This window comes from Homo sapiens, chromosome 2 (genome assembly GCF_000001405.40).
Source record: "Homo sapiens chromosome 2, GRCh38.p14 Primary Assembly".
Taxonomy (NCBI): Eukaryota; Metazoa; Chordata; class Mammalia; order Primates; family Hominidae; genus Homo; species Homo sapiens.
Window position 1 is genome coordinate 149,549,514 of NC_000002.12, and position 20,123 is coordinate 149,569,636.

The 20,123-nt window shown below is 36.5% G+C and overlaps 1 annotated feature.

Annotated features, from left to right (window-relative positions):
- Positions 6,942-7,236: a silencer, noted in NCBI's record as "tiled region #14986; HepG2 Repressive non-DNase unmatched - State 23:Low". NCBI's record gives its function as "represses a minimal TATA promoter and a strong SV40 promoter by Sharpr-MPRA in HepG2 cells {active_cell/tissue: HepG2}" and the evidence as "EXISTENCE:reporter gene assay evidence [ECO:0000049][PMID:27701403]".

Genomic DNA, 20,123 nt, shown 5'->3' on the forward strand with positions numbered 1-20,123 from the left:
TCCTTCATTTCAACTTTGGTGAATCTGACAATTATGTGTCTTGGAGTTGCTCTTCTCGAGGAGTACCTTTGTGGCATTCTCTGTATTTCCTGAATCTGAATGTTGGCCTGCCTTGCTTGATTGGGGAAGTTCTCCTGGATAATATCCTGCAGAGTGTTTTCCAACTTGGTTCCATTCTCCCCGTCACTTTCAGGTACACCAATCAGATGTAGATTTGGTCTTTTCACATAGTCCCATATTTCTTGGAGGCTTTGTTCATTTCTTTTTATTCTTTTTTCTCTAAACTTCCCTTCTCGCTTCATTTCATTCATTTCATCTTCCATCACTGATACCCTTTCTTCCAGTTGATCGCATCGGCTCCTGAGGCTTCTGCATTCTTCATGTTGTTCTCGAGCCTTGGCTTTCAGCTCCATCAGCTCCTTTAAGGACTTCTCTCCATTGGTTATTCTAGGTATCCATTCATCTAATTTTTTTTCAAAGTTTTTAACTTCTTTGCCATTGGTTTGAATTTCCTCCTGTAGCTTGGAGTAGTTTGATCGTCTGAAGTCTTCTTCTCTCAACTCGTCAAAGTCATTCTCCATCCAGCTTTGTTCCATTGCTGGTGAGGAACTACGTTCTTTTGGAGGAGGAGAGGTGCTCTACTTTTTAGAGTTTCCAGTTGTTCTGCTCTGTTTTTTCCCCATCTTTGTGGTTTTATCTACTTTTGGTCTTTGGTGATGGTGATATACAGATGGGTTTTTGGTGTTGATGTCCTTTCTGCTTGTTAGTTTTCCTTCTAACAGACAGGACCCTCAGCTGCAGGTCTGTTGGAATTTGCTAGAGGTCCACTCCAGACCCTGTTTGCCTGGGTATCAGCAGCAGTGGCTGCAGAGCAGTGGATTTTCATGAACCGCGAATGCTGCTGTCTGATTGTTCCTCTGGAAGTTTTGTCTCAGAGGAGTACCCGGCTGTTTGAGGTGTCAGTCTGCCCCTACTGGGGTGTGCCTCCCAGTTAGGCTGCTCAGGGGTCAGGGACCCACTTGAGGAGGCAGTCTGCCTGTTCTCAGATCTCCAGCTGCGTGCTGGGAGAACCACTGCTCTCTTCAAAGCTGTCAGACAGTGTCATTTAAGTCTGCAGAGGTTACTGCTGTCTTTTTGTTTGTCTGTGCCCTGCCCCCAGAGGTGGAGCCTACAGAGGCAGGCAGGCCTCCTTGAGCTGTGGTGGGCTCCACCCAGTTCGAGCTTCCCGGCTGCTTTGTTTACCTAAGCAAGCCTGGGCAATGGTGGGCGCCCCTCCCCCAGCCTGGCTGCCACCTTGCAGTTTGATCTCAGACTGCTGTGCTAGCAATCAGGGAGACTCCGTGGGCGTAGGACCCTTTGGGCCATGTGCGGGATATAATCTCCTGGTGCGCCATTGTTTAAGCCCATCGGAAAAGCACAGTATTAGGGTGGGAGTGACCCGATTTTCCAGGTGCCGTCTGTCACCCCTTTCTTTGACTAGGAAAGGGAACTCCCTGACCCCTTTTGCTTCCCGAGTGAGGTAATGCCTCGCCCTGCTTCGGCTTGCGCATGGTGCGCTGCACTCACTGTCCTGTGCCCACTGTCTGGCACTCCCTAGTGAGATGAACCCAGTACCTCAGATGGAAATGCAGAAATCACCCGTCTTCTGCATCACTCACGCTGGGATCTGTAGACCGGAGCTCTTCCTATTCGGCCATCTTGGCTGCCCTTTAATAGATGTTTTCATTGTGGAATGGATAAAGTGAATTATCATATGTATTACCTCACATAGTTTTATTTGTAATGAGAACATTTAAAGTTTACTGTTTTAGTAATTTTCAAGAATATAATATATTTTATTAATTATACCTACCCTAATATACAATTGATATCTTAAACTTATTCCTACTGTCTAACTGAAATTTTGTATTCCTTGACCAACATCTCCTCAACCATTCCCTTTCCGTAGCCTCTGGGAATCACCATTCTACTGTACGTTATAAGTTTGACCTTTTTTAGACTCCACTTATAAATGAGATTATGTAGTATTTATCTTTCTGTGTCGGACTTATTTTACTTAAAATAATGTTCCCCAGGTTTATCCATGTTTTTGCAAATGACAGAATTTCCTTATTTTTAAGGCTGAATAGTATTCCTTTGCATATGTATATATATACATATATATATATGCAAAAAACAAATATGTATATGTATTCGTTTATTTGTTGGTGGACACTTACGTTAATTCTGTATCTCGTACATTGTAAATAATGCTGAAATGAACATAGAGGTACAGATATCTCTTCAACATATTGATTCCAATTCTTTTGACTACATACTGAGAAGTGGAATTGCTGGGTCCTATGGTAGTTCTGCTTTTAATTTTTAGAGAAAATTCCATATTGTTTTCTGCAATGGCTGTAGTAATTCACATTTCCATCAACAGTGTGTAATGGCTCCCTTTTGTCCACATTCTTGCCAACACTTATTATCTTTCATTTTTTTTTTTTTTAACAAATGCTGTTCTAACAGGTGAGAAGTGATATCCCATTGTGGTTTTCATTTGCATTTACCCAGTGACTAGTGATATTGAGCATTTTTTTTTCATGTAACTGTTGGCTATTCATTTGCATGCTTTCTTTTTTTTTTTTTTTTTTTTCAGCTCTTATTGTAGGTCCGGGAGTTACAAGTGCAGGTTTGTTACATGAATAAATAGTGTCGCTGAGGCTTAACCCTGTCACCAAGGTAGTGAGCATAGTGCCCGGTAGGCAGGCAGACTTCCAAGCCATCCCCCTTTCTCCCCTCCCACCTCTATTGTTCCCATCTTTGTGTCCATGTGTATTTAATATTCAGCTCCTACTTATAAGTGAGAACATGTGGTATTTAGTTTTCTTTTCCTGCATTAGTTCACTTAGGATAATGGCCTCCAGCTGCATCCATGTTGCGCAAAGGACATGATTTCATTCTTTTTTATGGCTGAGTAGGATTCTATGGTGTATGTGTACCACATTTTCTTTATCGAGTCCATCGGTGGGCATTGATGGGCATCTTGGTTGATTTCATATTTTTACTATTATGAATAGCACTGAAGTGAACATAGGAGTACATGTGTCTTTTGGGTAGCATGATCTATTTTCCTCTGAGTATATATCCAATAGAGGGATTGCTGGGTTGAATGGTAGTTCTGTGTTCCATTCTTTGGGAAATCTCCATACTGCTTTCCACAGTGGCCAAGCTAATTTATATTCCTACCAGCAATATATAAATGTTCCCTTTTCTCTGCAACCTTGCCAGCGTCTGTTATTTTTCAACTTTTTAATAATAGCCATTCTGATTGGTGTGACATAGTATCTCATGGTGCTTTTGATTTGCATTTCTTTAATGATTAGTGATGATTAGCATTTTTTCATCTTTTTATTGGTTGTGTGAATGTCTCCTTTTGAGAAGTGCCTGTTCATGAGCTTTGTAGGGCGGTGATTTCTAGACACATTCCATGGTGTTCTGGAAGTTCCCTTATTAAGGGAGCAGTGTGTAGTGTTATGGGGAACAGTGCAGGTTGTGGAGAAATAGAAGAGGCTTCAGACACTCTCCCATTGCTCAACCAATGCTTAATATAAGAATTTTTATTTGCTTATGCTCTTACGTAAGTATGTAAACAAAAGTTTTCAGGGCCAAAATGATTATAAACCACTGGAAGAAAAAGGAAGCTGTAAGATTTTGAAAAAGACAAAATCAGGTGCAATTTGAGGAAACTACTCTGAATTCCAGAATAGAGTATTAGTCTCCAATCTGAAGTGGCTGTTCCCCAAAGTATATTGGATTGAATGGGTTGTTGTCAACTGGCACCATCAGCTCCAGTATCTTCTGAGGCTGGGAAATACATTTCTTGGAATTGCCTTCTTAGTAGAGTAATGTTTTAGAGTTTTCTGAGGAGAGGAACTTGGGGAAATTTAGAAGGTAGAGGTGAAGCAAAAAGCATCATATGCAGAAGGTCCTGGGGTGCCCAGGGATGGTCCCGCACAGCAGTTTTCTGAGAATTCTGTAGGAGCTCCCACTTCACTGTCCTTATTTGTGGTCAGTTCTACTGCTTCTGAGACTTACCTGCAAACTCCAACTCAGCATTTCTACTTCAAGCTGAAGCTGTGTTTCTCTAGTCCTGACTCTCCCCTTCTAGACCCACCTGTGCTTCCTAGCTTCTCAGGTAAGCTGTAATTCTTCAATGACTCCTCCAATGCTTGTAGCATCCTTTATCTTGACAGTACACAGGATGATACATGTATGTGTCAAATAATTCATTGAATGGGGAAGATCATCTTAGAACTTCTATTTACGTTTATCTTTTAATCTGTCCATTTAAACATTTTTAATGTGTATAAACATCTTATTATATATATATAATAGCAAAAAAATGTGCATACTTATAAAGAAATCAATGTGCAGGTATGGAGGTGTGTGCTCAATGTTTTCACTCACAGGGGTGTGAAGTTTTAAAAGTTTGGAGAATAGTGGTAGAAAAATGACCTTGGGAGGGAGGACAAAACTGAAGACAAAACATTCCATCCGTAGGCTATTACAGAAGTAGTACTGGAGAGAATTTATGAGCATCTGAAGTAAGGCAGTGGCAGGGGCAGTCCTGATGAAAGTGGTATTTAGGATGTTAAATAATAGGAAGCAGCAACTGATAGATCACCTTTTGAGGAGTCAAAGAGAAGGACACTTTACACAGCTTCTATGCTTGCAGTTTAGCTGCTCCCATTCACAGTGCAAAGGCTGCTGAGTTTTTTATTTGTTCTTCCCAGGTCAACAATTTAGAAAAGCAGCCAGTCCACCAAAACCAAGTAAGGTTTATCTCAGGAACGTGAGGGATGATATGAGAAAAACACTCTCTCAAATCTATCTTATAAGAACCTTAAAAGAAAATGATTCTAGGAGCAAAAGCTAATTTTCTACCCAAATTTTGTCTTGGCTTTTAAGTTGGCTTGGCCCAGAAATGGCTTACATCACCACCACCACTTTTTTTTCCTCACACTCTTTCTGCTCCTATCAGTCGAATGTAGACAACAATAAGGACTTAGGAGTTAATACGGATACAAGGTGGAAGGAGTCTGGGTCCCCGAATTACCTTCTGGAGGAGAGCCACCTGCCTTTCTGTAATATGACTAAGAAGTAAGACTTCCATTCTGTTGGACGCCAAAATATATATCAGTGTAAGCCAATATAGCTGTGTAGTCTACCTTAAATATGACAGGGATTATTATAATAGGAGCCCCAAAGTATGCAATAATAGTAAATAATCATTGCTGATACAAACTTGTGGAAAACAGTTACTTTCTTAACAAGAGGTCCATGGACTTCCAGGGGGTCCATGAACAGAATAAAATTTGGTTGGAAAGAAAATTACATTTTTATTTTGGCATTCCTTTCCATTATGAACACAGGCAACAAATCAAGTGTTATTGGCAGTTCTTGTGACTTGTCACCAATAGAAAACACAGATTTTTCCCCATCATATTACAGCTGTTGCAGATATCTCATAAGGTCATTTCTCCTTGTCACTAATTCAAAATTATAGCAGCATTAGACTGCTGTTCAATTTTGTAATTTAATGCATTAATAAAAAGTATATATGTCACAAACTTTAAAAATGTTTTGACAAATGTGTTTCAAAATAATTGAGTTTTTAGTAACTATATATATTTTATGCATTTAAAAACATAATTCTGAAAAGGGGCCCATGGCATAAAAAAGGCTAAGGGCCCCTGAAAGATATTTTTTCAATGTAGCAAAGAATAGCTAATGTAAACAAGAGTTGCTGCTTCCAAATTTTATATTTCTAGTTTGAATAATAACTAAGATGTAATAAAGAAACAGAATTATAACAGTTAAAAAACTCATAGTATTTCTTAAGTGCCAGAATAATATTAAATAATTTGTAATAATATAATATGATAAAATAACAAAAATTAAAAAAAACCTGTGCATATCTGTGTATGTTTGGACATATGCACATACATGTTTGTAACCTTTTTTATTGAGGGCAACCATAGCCATTATACCCATTAAGACTTCTTTTGGGATGTTTCTTTCTAATTCATTCGTACAATCACTTTATAAATAGTAGAATTCAAGTTAAAGTATTTACAATATTCTTGAGCTTCACCAAACCATATAAGCAGGTGTTAATAGCCACTTTATTCAGGAATCATGCTGGGGATTGCAATACTAAAATTTTTAATTTCGTCTAAATTTTATTAGCCTAAAAATATACTAGTGCACTTTTTCTAAATCCAGAATTCAAAGGCTTCTTGAACTTTTAGTTTTCAAACGTAGGAGAACATACTCTGAGCCACCTGCCATATAAAGACTTGTATTATCAAGCCTTTTCATTTATGACTGTGGGATACCTAAAAAAATCATTTATCAAAATCACTTTAAATCATGTTCCAATCACTTCCTTATAATCAACAGGCCCACCCTTCAATAAAATATCCAAAAGCCATTTCCAAAAGTGAGAAGCTTGACCAGTGATTTTCATGAAGCAGTAGGGCATGAAAGATTGGAACTTTCATATGAAAAAGACTTGAGTTTGGATTCCTAGTCCATTACTTAGAAATGTTGTGAGCTTAAATAATTTACTTATTTTTTTCTGAGTTTCGATTTCCTCCTCAGGAACTGGAGATACTATCACTTATCCCATACTGTTTTTATGACTATTAAATGAGATACAGTACTTCTGTAAATTTTAACAGTAAATGCATGTGAAAAAATGGTTAATTTCCAATCTCCTACTGACCGTAAATGGAATCATGACAATAGATGTGAACAGTTTGACTTTTGCGAAGACCTAGCAAAATCTCTATGGAGGGAACTATTTTGCACTAATGTAGGACTTTTAAAAACTTGGCTTTTTAAACACACAGTATCTGTCACTACAAATACTGATATTTTGAAGACCTGTGTTCTCTCACAGTGTATGTATATAAGTTTTTAAACTATTGAGGTGGAATTCTGTTGGATACAGTGTTTGCATGTTGAGTTTTGAGGTACTGCACACTTCGCCAACAGGAAACCATTTCAAATGCCAATAAAAACTTTCCAAAAAAAAACATCTCTGGGCATGTAATGGCTGATTAAGTCTAAAGCAGTGAATTCTGTGATTACTTAACACACTATCTGTGTATGTACAGCTAGTAGGAGTGCTCCATTTATTTGTTTTGGATGTGATGAATTGTTTGTGATGGTATTACTTTTCCAAAGTTGTGGTGAGATTAAATACTAAAGTGTTCTGCCAAATACATGTCCTCTTGAAGATGTTTGTATTATAATTTTAGGAAAATATATTTGGGGGTAATTTTTACTGTTTAGTTGTCCACAAAATTTGTACACATTCAGAGGTCAGATAATAAGAACAGCTAAAATTTACTGACCTCTTCCACAGGAATAGTAAGAAATGGCTTGCATATGTCATCCCTCCTAAACCTTAAATCTTCTCATGAGATGGGTATTAACAGAAGTGGAACTTGCCCAAGGTCAGAAAACTTGTAAATAGCACAACTGAGATCCAGACTCAGGAGTTTTTTTCCAAACCCCAGTCTCTTAACCACGATGCTGTACAGTCCTTTGATTTTGGATGAGTATCTGGATAACTGAACTAGTCATGATATTTCATGCATGTTGTAATGTTGAGAAATTTCAGAATCCTAAAACAGTTGTTAAAGGTTGGAACATAAGAATGAGCATGAAAATATTATAAGCGACTTGATTTCCTAGAACCAAATGGAAATTAAAATAGTACATGATCACGTAGCAAATTATTAGCATACATCAGAGAACAAAAGATAAGCAGAGCATAACTGCTGAGAGGTATGATGACAAAGCCTGTCAAAACTCTTTCCAATGGGTCTGAAAATCTTTATTGTTTTGATCCCACCCCTACCACACCCTCTCTCCTGAGCTGTGGAAGATCGGTGGGTTAAATTCTATCATCAAATGCAATAATGGAGTTTCAAATATTCAAGTTGAGTGAGGTATGCTTGTCATTCAACTTTACATCCTCTATCCTGACTACTCTCTGAATTCTAGGTTCCCAACTCTAAGTATATGCAGATATTCACCACCATTTTAACTTTACCACATAAATGTAAGAGGGCTATATGCTGCAAACTAGTACTTGGTAGTGAGACCACCAGGCTAGGCATTAGGGTCCAAGGCCCAATTGCTTGTGTTCCAGTCCTGGCTCTGCCATTCAATATCCATGCGACTTTAAACTCATCACCTGGCCTCTCTCTGCTTCAGGTTTCTGATCCATGAAATGGGAATAATAATACTTATTTCATGGGGTTGTTATGAAGATTATATGCATTATGTATAAAGCACTTAGCTAAGTGCTGGGCACAGTAAGCACGATGAAAATGTTGGCTTGTTACTATTATTACCAGTGCTATTATTATTATTATTCTTTTAGTCATCCATGTTGAAAACTGCAGTCTTTTGTTTGGATTGCTGGAAGTGGGATTGGACAGCAAGACCTAGGGAGCAGTCAGTTCCTGCTTTAATTTCTACTTTGGAATATTTATTTCATTCTTACGGCCACCACCCTAATTTAGGCCTCTATTACCTTTGAGTTACCCCATTACAACAGTAGTCTTTTTGTTGCCAGTTACTTTTTGCCTACAGTTTATATCCTATACCACCAGGAGATCTATCTTTCCAAAAGTTGATTTAATCGAATTATTCTTCTGCTTGAAAACCTTCAATGTTTAATGCTATAGCATATCGGTGAATTCCTTATTCTGGAACTAAAAATTCCTTCAATCTAGCCCCAAGGTGTCTTTCTAGCCTCATTTCCCAAGTCCTTGCAGTCAAGGAAACTCTAGGTAAACCAGTCCACTCTCTTGTGTTAGTCTCATGTTTTAGCTCCTGGAATATCCTCTGCTCACTATTCAAATCCCGCCTGCCTTTCAAGGGCCAGCTGAGATTTCCTCTCCTCCAAGAGTCTCTAGACATGCCATAAGCTCTACGACTTGGAGCAGACATGAAGTATGTCAGCATCAAACGTCAAACTTTACTAATTCAGAGTGGACGTATATTGGATATGATTAAGTAAAAAGCAAAGGAAAGGTGTAGAGTTTGAGAAAACCTCTGTGAATCATAAAATTTTAAATGATTTAATTATTTTTATACCGTGTTAGTCCGTTTGGGCTGGTTTGACAGAATACCACAAACTGGGTAATTTATAGTTAGAGGTAAACTTGAACAATTTGGGTTTGAACTGCCCGGGTCCACTCATATTCAGATTTCCTTCTGCCTCTGCCACCCCTGAGACAGCAAGAACAATCCCTCCTCTACCTCCTCCTCCTCAGCCTTCTCAACATGAAGACAATGAGGATGAAGACCTTCATGAGGAGCCCCTTCCACTTAATAAAGAGTAAATATATTTTCTCTTCTTCATGATTTTTTTTTTAACATTTTCTTTTCTCTAGTTTATTTCCCAGCACTTTGGGAGGCCTAGGCGGCGGATCACGAGGTCAGGAGATCGAGACTATCCTGGCTAACATGGTGAAACCCCGTCTCTACTAAAAATACAAAAAGTAGCCGGGCGTGGTGGCAAGTGCCTGTAGTCCGAGCTCCTCAGGAGGCTGAGGCAGGAGAATGGCGTGAACCCAGGAGGCTGAGGCAGGAGAATGGCGTGAACCCAGGAGGCGGAGCTTGCAGTGAGCTGAGATCGCGCCACTGCACTCCAGCCCAAGGAAAAAAAAAATTCAGAATGTAATACATTTAACATACAAAATATGTTAACTACTCATGTTGCCAACAAGGCTTCCAGTCAACAGTAGGCTGTCAGTAGTTCAGTTTCTGGGGAGTCAAAAGTTATATGTGGATTTTTGACTCAGCCTGGGGTTGGGGTGGTCGGCACCCCTAATCCCCCTCTTGAACTGTAATAGAAATTTCTCACTGTTCAGGGTGCTGGCAGATGGGGTGTGTGGTAAGGGCTCTTTCTCTGCTTCCAAGATGGTGCTTTGTTGCTGCACCGTCTGCAGGGATGAACAGTGTCCTCACATGGCAAAGGGAGGGAAGGGTAGAAGGGTCAAGGCGCTCTCTGAAAAGGGCATTAATCCCATTCACAAGGCAGAGTCCTCATAACTTAATCACTCTCCCAAAGGCTCCACCTCTTAATATTACCAACTTGGTGTTTGAGTTCCCACCTATGAATTTTGGAGGGACAGGTACATTAAAACCATACAGCGATGGCAGGCAATGATAGAAGTAGCAAAGGGCTTGCTGTAATCTATTTTAATAAGTAGAAGGCATTGTGTACAACAGAATGCCTGACATAATTGTTCAAGATCAAATTAATAGCCCCATCATCTCAAGTATCTATGCTGCTATGTGACAGATGCATTCCTAGGAAATCTTGCATGATAAAAAAAAATTAATAGACCAAACAGGAATTTTAAATGCATACCATTATTGTTTCTGAAGAAATTTCAATAATAAAGGTGCTTTCTTATACCCGTAAGTGTATAACTATGAAACCTAAATATTAATGAGCAAATATAGTATTTTATCATATCAAAAGACCTTTCTTTATTAGTCCTGGCACTACCACTAGCCAGAACTTCTTGCCATTTATATAATCACCGATACAATAAATGGAGCAGAGCTGCTCAAATAAAGAGTACAATGAGTTTCCCTTTTCAGAGTGGAGAAGCTTCCTAATTAAGACTGCATTGCAAATACATTACCATGTAATGCAAATTGATGGAATTATAAAAGTCTATACTGTAATTAAAAATTTTTTTCATAAAAAATAAAATGTTAAAGTCACTTACCTGAATTATCAGAAATTGCCAATTAGACAAGAAGTAGTTCATGGACTAAGACCCAGAAAAGCTGTATTCTAGATTTGCCAATTCTAACCTTGGGCAAATCATTAAACTTTTCAAGGCTTGAGTTTTCTCATCCAAGAAATAAAGGGCAGGACTAGACAATTTTTAAGACCTCCCAAATCAATATTTTTATACTCTTTTATTTTTCTTGTCTACAAGGCTATTATTTGTGTGAAGTTATGTTACTTACTTACTTTGACCTTGAAGTTCAATGTGTCTATTCCCACATAACTTTTCAAATAATTAGAATATAATTTCTTAATATTAAAATAATTATAAATCTTGAGTTTTCTTTTACTATTCACAAGACACTTTGGATTTTGCCATGGTCTGTTCTAAATACTGCATAGTAACATGACAAAATTGAATTGGTTCATTTTTTCATGCAGTTTCTCTGCATTTCACATAGTATGTTTTTAATGACTCTGTAACACCATAATACATTACTACACTTCTAAAGTTCAATAGTTTACCCTTACTAATTTTTTGCTTTCATGTCAGAGCCACACTCCCCCCCCGCTTTTTTTTTTTTTTTGGCAGGAATGGAGGCACTAAATAATTGCTTAACAACTAAAAATTAATTTTAAATCTCAGATCATGTCGGATCTTTTGACTAAACACAGTACTCCCAATTCCAGGATTTCTTGACTGCGTGCTGGTGAGAAAGAATTTGACCATCTCACACCAGGTCTTTTTGCTGCCTCTTGCCTTATTTCCCTAAGTGCCTAGGAGTGCTCCCTTATCTTTCTTCTGATTCAAGACACTAGATTGTATTGTGACACAGATTGATACTTTTCTAGAAACTCACAATTTTAAAAATGATAAAAATTACATGTATAATGATTGAACAACATGACCCTGCATCAGGCATTCATTTTCTATTTCATAGCTCAAGTAATGGCATCTAGGAAATAGCACTAGAAAAAAATGCTAGTTTCTAAAAAGTCAAAACAATGAAGTAATTATCAATGTACAGGAACTTTTCTTTCTAAATGGTTTACATTTCAAACATGCAGAATTGATAAGGTAATTTTTTTTTTCTTGGCCAAACTACAAGCCTCAAATTTGAGGAATTTCAAGGTAATTAAATGGTGCCACCTATTGGCCAAATGTATCACTGCAGCCTATCTTTTTAAATATAGAGGATGTTCAATAAAGTTGGCAAAATCCTAAGTGCAAAATTAGAGGTTCTTATCCATTTGAGACAGTCACATTTGTGAATAAATTTTAATGCAATATTTTAAATTAGATAACATATCTCAAATATATAGCTATTTTGTTGTTAGAAGGTTTGTCCACAAGGGGGGTGTGTGTGTGTATGTATGAATAAGAAATACATATATATGCTCATGAAAAGGACACTCATTGTAGCATTAGGTTATTTTTCACTCTGAAATGGAGGGGCATACTGGAAAAGCTAATAGCTAAAGGCAATCCTGGACTTACAATAGCTCTTTCTGCTGGTTGGGACTAAACAGTACCTACAACACTGGGGATCTAGTATTGGAAATGACTGTAATAGTTTTTTCATACAACTTATGGAATTAGTTAATCTCAGTGATTTTCAGTTATCCTTCATAATACAGTATCAGAAAAGGGGTTCTCATAGTAGGCTTCTACAGAGTCTTTAACTTGCCCATGAAAATAAATGTCACTTTAAAATGAAAGCCAGAATTAATTTAAGAAGCAGGCCACGAGTTCTGGTAGCCCTAAAGAATAAACTGCTTCTTTTTTGCTTTATTGTGACTCTCCTAATTTGTTGAGAGGAATATTAGTTGTATCTCTATTTTAGATTCCATGACCAACTTGCAGGTTTTTTTTTTCAATATGCTAAAATATTTTTTGCTTCTTAGAGACACTGTCTTGAATTAACATGGACTTTTGGCTAATCTACATAAAACTACACTGTAGGTTAACCTACATTTATTCTAAAAAAACTGTAACATAAATAGAGAGCAATCTAGAAGCCAAGTGCTCATTCATTTGAGATTAATTGCCTCTTCAGATCACTAATTCATGCTCCAGTGTCCCAGGAGAGTTATTTCCCATGAGTGACCACTTGACTCAGAAGGTATTTTAACTCATCCAGGCTTCGTACAGGACAAATCTTATTACTGTAACTTAGTTACACGGCCATAAACATAGTTTCCCTTTCTCTTTCTCAGCTTGTTTACTTAGTACCAGAAGAAAGTCTCCTCTGTGACCACTGGTGACTTAACTCAGTTTGAATGGGCACAAATCCAGCAACTGACAACATTGTGTGACACTGAAAATTGAGTTCATATTATTTAAAATAACTTTAAACAAGGGTAAATGAAGTCACATTCACTGTAAGCAAACAAGGAATAGACCTCATGTCCTTCTGCAATCAAAAAGGGATGTGAAAAATAAAATTCTTATAAAATTGTTGTTGATTTCAATGTCGAAGATCTTAGTCACAAATTTAAAACAAACAGGAGAGATAAAATAGCAATTAATGAACAGTAACCATGAACCTTCAAAGGCAACAACCTGAAATTATAAACTGATGAGCCATGGAGGCACTATTTAACCCGGGAAGTGCTGCTTTTCTAGGGTGCTCAAAGCTTGTACTCTTTTTGGCTTTAGTATTTTTTTTAATTTTGAGTCCCTCTACAATTTTACCATTAAAAATAACTGTCATTTGATAGCAATGTTGTCATTCACACAGTCACCAGATTCAGCAAATATAAAAAGGAAGACACTAAGATAAATTTGAATTTCAGATACAAATTTTTTTTTAGTATATGTACTATTCAATATTTGGGAGACAGGCAGTGTATTTCATTAAATATACTATCACAATTGTGCTGATAAAATAGTGCTACAATTGTAAAACAGGTTAAACTAGTCTGAAACTATGGTCATGCATATCTTAACTACGGGGATATGTTCTGAGAAATGGGTAGTTAGGAGACTTCATCATTGTGTGAATATCAAGAGTGTACAAAACCTGGATTGTATAACCTACTATACACCTGGGTTCTAATAGTATAGGCTATTGCTCCTAGGCTAAAAACCTGTACAGCATGTTACTGTACTGAATACTGTAGGCAACTGTAACACAATGTTTTTGTGTATCTAAACATAGAAAAGTACAGTAAAAATAGGACTACTATCATATTTGTGGTCCAACCTTGACAGAAACGTTGTTATATGGTGCATGACTTCAATTAAAGATCTCTACACCAGGTTTTTGGATTAAAGCGGATACATGACAAAGCTCCAGTTTGACCTCAACAAATCTAGATTTACTCTTCTGAATCATCATTAAGTTGATCAGCATCTAATTCACATCTATTACTGAACATCTATGTGACAGGAACTGTGCTCAACCATTCTTCCTGTAACAAAACTGGACTTCCTGGCAGGCACTTGTTCGTGAAGTCTGTGACAAGGATGACTTTAAACTATTTAAAAACTACTAAAAATTAAATTTGTAGCAAAATGGCATATACAGCTACAACATAAGCTATGAGTACAAACCAGTGTTTAAAAAGTTTAATACCTATTTTTGTACTACTGAATTGCCACTCATTTTAAATAGAGTGGCAATTTAATGACACAAAATCTTTATACTAGGAGATGTAAGAAGTTGTAACTTAAATATAATCCTATCTACATAAAATTAAAGCAATTAGAGACTCTATTTTTATATAGAACGAGATCAAAGCAGATTATAGCATTGCAACCCTACCTGTTTAGTCTATTTTCATTTAAAGGAAACAAAGTTAGTGACTATGCCATTTCATATAAATACACTGTGCCCAAAATGCAACATTTCATGAAATAACTGAAACAGTGAAAGAACTGTTAGATTGATTGAGAGGAAATCTACATGGATGACTCAATGTTAGAAACCCTAAGCATGATTTAACTATCCAAGGATTAAGAGGTTCTGGGAAAACTCTTAAAAGCTCTTGGCAAAAATGATCATGCTATAAATAATGTAAACCATGTCTAATAACAGTAAGAAAAATAAAATGCTTTGAAAACTTGTTTTATATAATGTAAGCATTAATGTATAATTAAAACTCTAGCTAAACGTTTAAAAAGAAAATAATTTTGCTTCAAAATTTCCTTTACCTATAAATTTTAGTTCCTTTTTAAAAACTGGACTCAGTTTAAGGGCCCTTTGCTGGCATCATTTATTTTTGAATAGGTTCTCCCACTATTTTAAGAGTGGATTTGATTGTATTTTTAAAAACTTTATTGGAGTATACTACACATACAAAAAAGTGCACCTAAGTTTGTACAACTGAATTCATCATGTGGTCAATACTCAAATTCAGAAAAACATAACAGAACACAAAACATTACCAACATTCCAGAATCCTTTTTGTCCTTTCTTCCAGTCAATTCTTCCTTTCCCAAGGGTAAGCACTATCCTGACTTGTAGCAGCATAGTTGTGTTTTTGTATTTCATATTAATAGAATTACATAGGATGTACTACTGCGTCTGGCTTCTTTGGTATATTGTTTATTACTTTCATCCATTTTGTTGCTAGTTATAAAGCATTTATTCTCATTATTATATAGTATCCCATTACGTGAATGTGACACAACTGAATTGACAAAAATAATTCTAGTGTGCATTTGAGTAGTTTCTTACTTTTGGTTATTTAGCACCGGTATAGACTTTTACATGAGTAAACATCTTTTGGTGAATATATACATACATAAACACACACACACACACATATATGCATTTCCGGTTGGTCTATACCTCAGAGTGAAAGTGCCAGGTCCTAGGGCACATTGAGCCTTAGAACTGTCAGTTTTCCAAAGTATTTATACCACTTTACATTCCCATCAACAGAATTTTAGGTTGTTCTACATCTATAACTTGGTGTATTTATTTTTTCATTTTTCATTCTGGTAGAGATGTAGTAGTGGTATCGCATTGTAGGTTTAATTTACATTTCTGATGATTAATGAAGTATGGCACCTTACCGTGTTTACCGACCATTTGAGTATCTTTCTTTGTAAATGTTTATTTTTCTGGTGGTTATTTGTTTACTGATTTTAGGAGTCTTTATATATTTTGAATACAAGCTGTTTATTGGATATGTATATTGCCAGATTGTTGAGTATGTATTTATCTTTAACTCTGCTAGCTGCCTTCTCCTTCATGATGTCTTTTGATGAATTAAGAGTTCTTAGTTGTTTTTTGTTTTTGTTTTTTGAGACAGTTTCGCTATCATTGCCCAGGCTGGAGTGCAATGGCATGATCTCAGCTCACCGCAACCTCCGCCTCCCAGGTTCAAGCGATTCTCCTGTCTCCTGGGTAGCTGGGATTACAGCACCACCACGCCCGGCTAATTTTTTCTATTTTTAGTAGAGACGGGGTTTCTCCATGTTGGTCAGGCTGGTCTTGAATTCCCAACCTCAGGTGATCCGCCAGCCTCGGCCTCCCAAAGTGCTGGCATTACAGGTGTGAGCCATGGCGCCTGGCCAAGGGTTCTTACTTTTAACATGATCCAATTAATCATTTTTCCCTTTATATGATTATGTTGTATTCTCTTAAAAACAAATCTTTGTCTACTCCAAAGCACAAAGATTTTTTTTCCCCCTAGAAGCTTTAACCTTTCAAATTTAGACTTGGAATCAATTTAGAATTTTGATGTATGTGTCATGTAAAAGTAAAAATACATTTTTCTATATGAATATCCAATTGACCCAGCAATATATACTGAAAAGATCCTTCTTTTCTCACTGCACTGCAGTGTCACCTCTGTGATCAATCAAGTGACCACTTATGTGCTTTTTATAGTAGTGACATGGTTTTAACTGATTATAATTTCCAGTAATGAATGGAAGACAAATGCTCAAAGTCTCAAAAAACAAAAAATGCTCAAAGCCTTAAGTCTACATAATTAAGTTACAGTTTACATGTATTCTAAGAGGGCAATGAAAACCCTATGAAAAACTTTAAAATATCCTGGTTAGGAATGAGAGGATAACAGGAAAGTTATTACTGCATATTCAATGGTGTGTTTAAGTTAGTAGGAAATTGGGTCCTTACTTTCCAAGTATGGGAGGCAAGATTTAAGACAAAAAAATATAAAGGAACTGTGTACAAAATCGTGTGGTGGAGACCAAGTACTATATAAATTAAGGAAAAGACCAGTGAGGGATGAAGAGCCAGGAAAGGTTTCATAGAGGAAGTGTGACTCAAATCCTTGAATTGATTTAGGCCTGATTAGGTCTCTCTTAATGCAAAATATTAGAGCCTTCATTCTTTTCTATAGCTCCTTAATACATTAAATAGATTAGCAAATCTTACTCTTATTTCCTTAGATGCCTCTAATCCACCAACTATTACTGAGTTTTAGGACCGACCAGAGGTTCTAACCCTGAATGCACACTGAAACACCTGGGAAACCCTTAAAAAGTACTTAGGTCCAAACCTCATCAGACTAATGATATCAATATGTGGGTGTGAGGCCAACTCATCAGTACTAAATGCCCTCAGGGGATCTAAATGTACAGTTAAAGTTGAGGACTTTGAATCAGTGGTTCTCAACCCCAGTGATAAAGTTGTCAGATAAAATTCAGAACACCTGGTTAAATTTGACTTCTGATAAGTATTTTGTCCCATAGGAGAAATATAGCAATAACGGAAGACATTTTTGTCATAACCATGGCTTGCTGTTGGTATCTAATAAGCAGAAACTAGGGAATGCTGCTAAACTTCCTACAATGTCTAGGAGAGCCCACACAACAAAGACTGGTTCAAGACGTCAATAGTGCAGAAGTGGATAAACCCTCCTTGTGACAACAGTCACAAGGAGAATATAGAGTTGGAACTAAAAAGAGAGTTTTGTTCAAATGTAAGGACTAGGTTGATATTACAAGTAACAGAAGCCCAAGAAAGACATGAAGGTTTTAAACTTGAAGCTAGAGAACTATTGTTTGAAGTCTAGCATTCTATAATTGAATTTTTAGATACATGTTTCAGTAAATTTTCAAAGAAACTAAAAGCACATAGCGTTCAATGTAATGAATTCCTAAGTTTATGAAGTGGCAGCATTATCAGTTAACCCAAAAGTTCTTTCACTTTAAATTCTGCAACTCTTTGATATTTTTAATCAGACACTTAATAGACTTCTTGATTATGACCATGAAGTGAATATAGAAAAGAAATATATATAACTAATGGACTCTTGGCCAAGTCCCAGTGCTGGGTCTTAACACTAGCTGTGTGACCTGATGCAAATGCTCCTGTTTCCCATTTTGTCTACCATAAAATGAGGAATGTGGATGACATGATCTGAAAGATCTCTTTCAGCATTTAATTTCTATGTGCTTGATAAATTTTCATCTATGTAACCAGCATCCAAGAACAAAAATTCCTAAGTTCTTGTGAAAACATAACTTTAACAAATAAACTTTTATTCAGTGACAGATCTAATAGTAATTTCAATGGCTCAGTCTTATTTTTTTAAAAGGTAGCAAATTTATGTTTAAGATATATAATTTTACAAATCCTTTCTTGTCCACAAGGTCCTGATCAAGTGAACAGTTACCTGAGGTGTTTTTTTCTGTGGTACATAATAGTCAACCACTTTATATTATTATCATTCAGTAAGAGTTCCTTGAGTTATATTTCTAAAACCTGAATCTTGCCATAATACTTCAGAAAAAAAAGTTTTTAATTAACAGTTACTGCTGATCATATTTGTTTCTGGAAATCCTGTTAAAAAGCAAGTTGATAAAGAGTCTCGTCACCATGTACCCTATCTCAGTACAACAGAATGCACAGACTTAGTCACCTATAGGGAATAAGTATCATTTTCGATCAGTAAGTGACACTTCCTAATTGTTAAAGCAAATGTTGAAATTTCAAGGGAACTTGCCTTAAAGAATGGTGCAAGGTAGGAAATGGCTGAATAAGCAAAATACACATTAGAAATAATGAGAGTGGTGCAAGGTACTTGACCAAATTCTGTATTGTGTAACGCTGTCCTCTGTACTGTGGGACGTTCAGCACTAACCCTGTCCTCTACCTACTAAGTTCTGTAGCACAACTCCCCCATGTCCCTCCAAATTATGAAAATAAAAAATGTCTCCAGACATTGCTAAATTTCCCTTGAGGGGCAAAGCTGCCCCAATTCAGAAGCAATGAGAAGGCAAAAACTAGGCAAACAAATTTGATACCATATACGATAACAGGAATTAATTTCACAATGTTGAGTAAAAGCAGCCAGACACTGAAGCGAACACATTATACAGTTTCATATATATATGTAAAATGTGTGTGTGTATATATACATGTGTATGTGTGTCTACGTATATATAAAGCGTCAAAACAGGCAAAACCAACCTATACTGTACAAGGAAACCTGGACAGTGGTTACTCACGGAAAGGGCAAGGGCTGGGGAGCATGTAGTACCTAGAAGGGAGCAGGATGAGTGTGTTTGAGTATTCTGTGTTTTGATCTGGGTGCTGGTTACACACATAAAAATTTATTGAGCACATATGATGTGCATATATATATATATATATACACTTCAATAAATGTTCTTCTAAATGCTGTGGCAATCACTACACTTCATCATTTCAAAATAAATGAAAACTTTCTAGTTCTAGATCGTAAGCAACACCTCTTATCAAATGACATGTTAACTAAGCTAGGGGTTTTAAAACAAGGTGTGATTAAAAAGTTATCTCCATGTAGTCCTTTTCAAAACAGGCATTTCATGCAAAGAAGAAAAAACAGAAAAAAATCTATTTCAATTCATTTTGTGGAAGTTACATTTACTCCTTAGATCTGCCTATTCCTATTTGCAAAAGCTTCAAAAATGAAAGATGAAGTTTATGATGCTGTAAAAACAAGCTCTGTCTCAAATGAGGCACCTCTGTAAAGTACTGCAGTTTCCACCTATTGCTAAAATTGAAAAATAAATTTGTCAGTTAAGGCATAGTTCTATTTGTCTGTCTCAACTCAGGAGTTAAGAGAGAATTACCTTTTTAGTAGGGATAAGGACAAGACTCATATGCGTTTAAAGATGTATTATCCTTCTTCTTCTTTTCCTGAACATAAATTATTTCAAAGTAATACTCAGACTGGTACCCCAACACTTAATAGACAATAAAGATAAAAGAAAATTTGAAAAAGTCTACAATGAATCCAAAATTCTCAATTGCATTAAAAAGAATTTTAAAAAGATTAATATAGAAACTTAAGAATCAATAATGGTATTTAAAAAATACTGTAATGAAAACACACATTA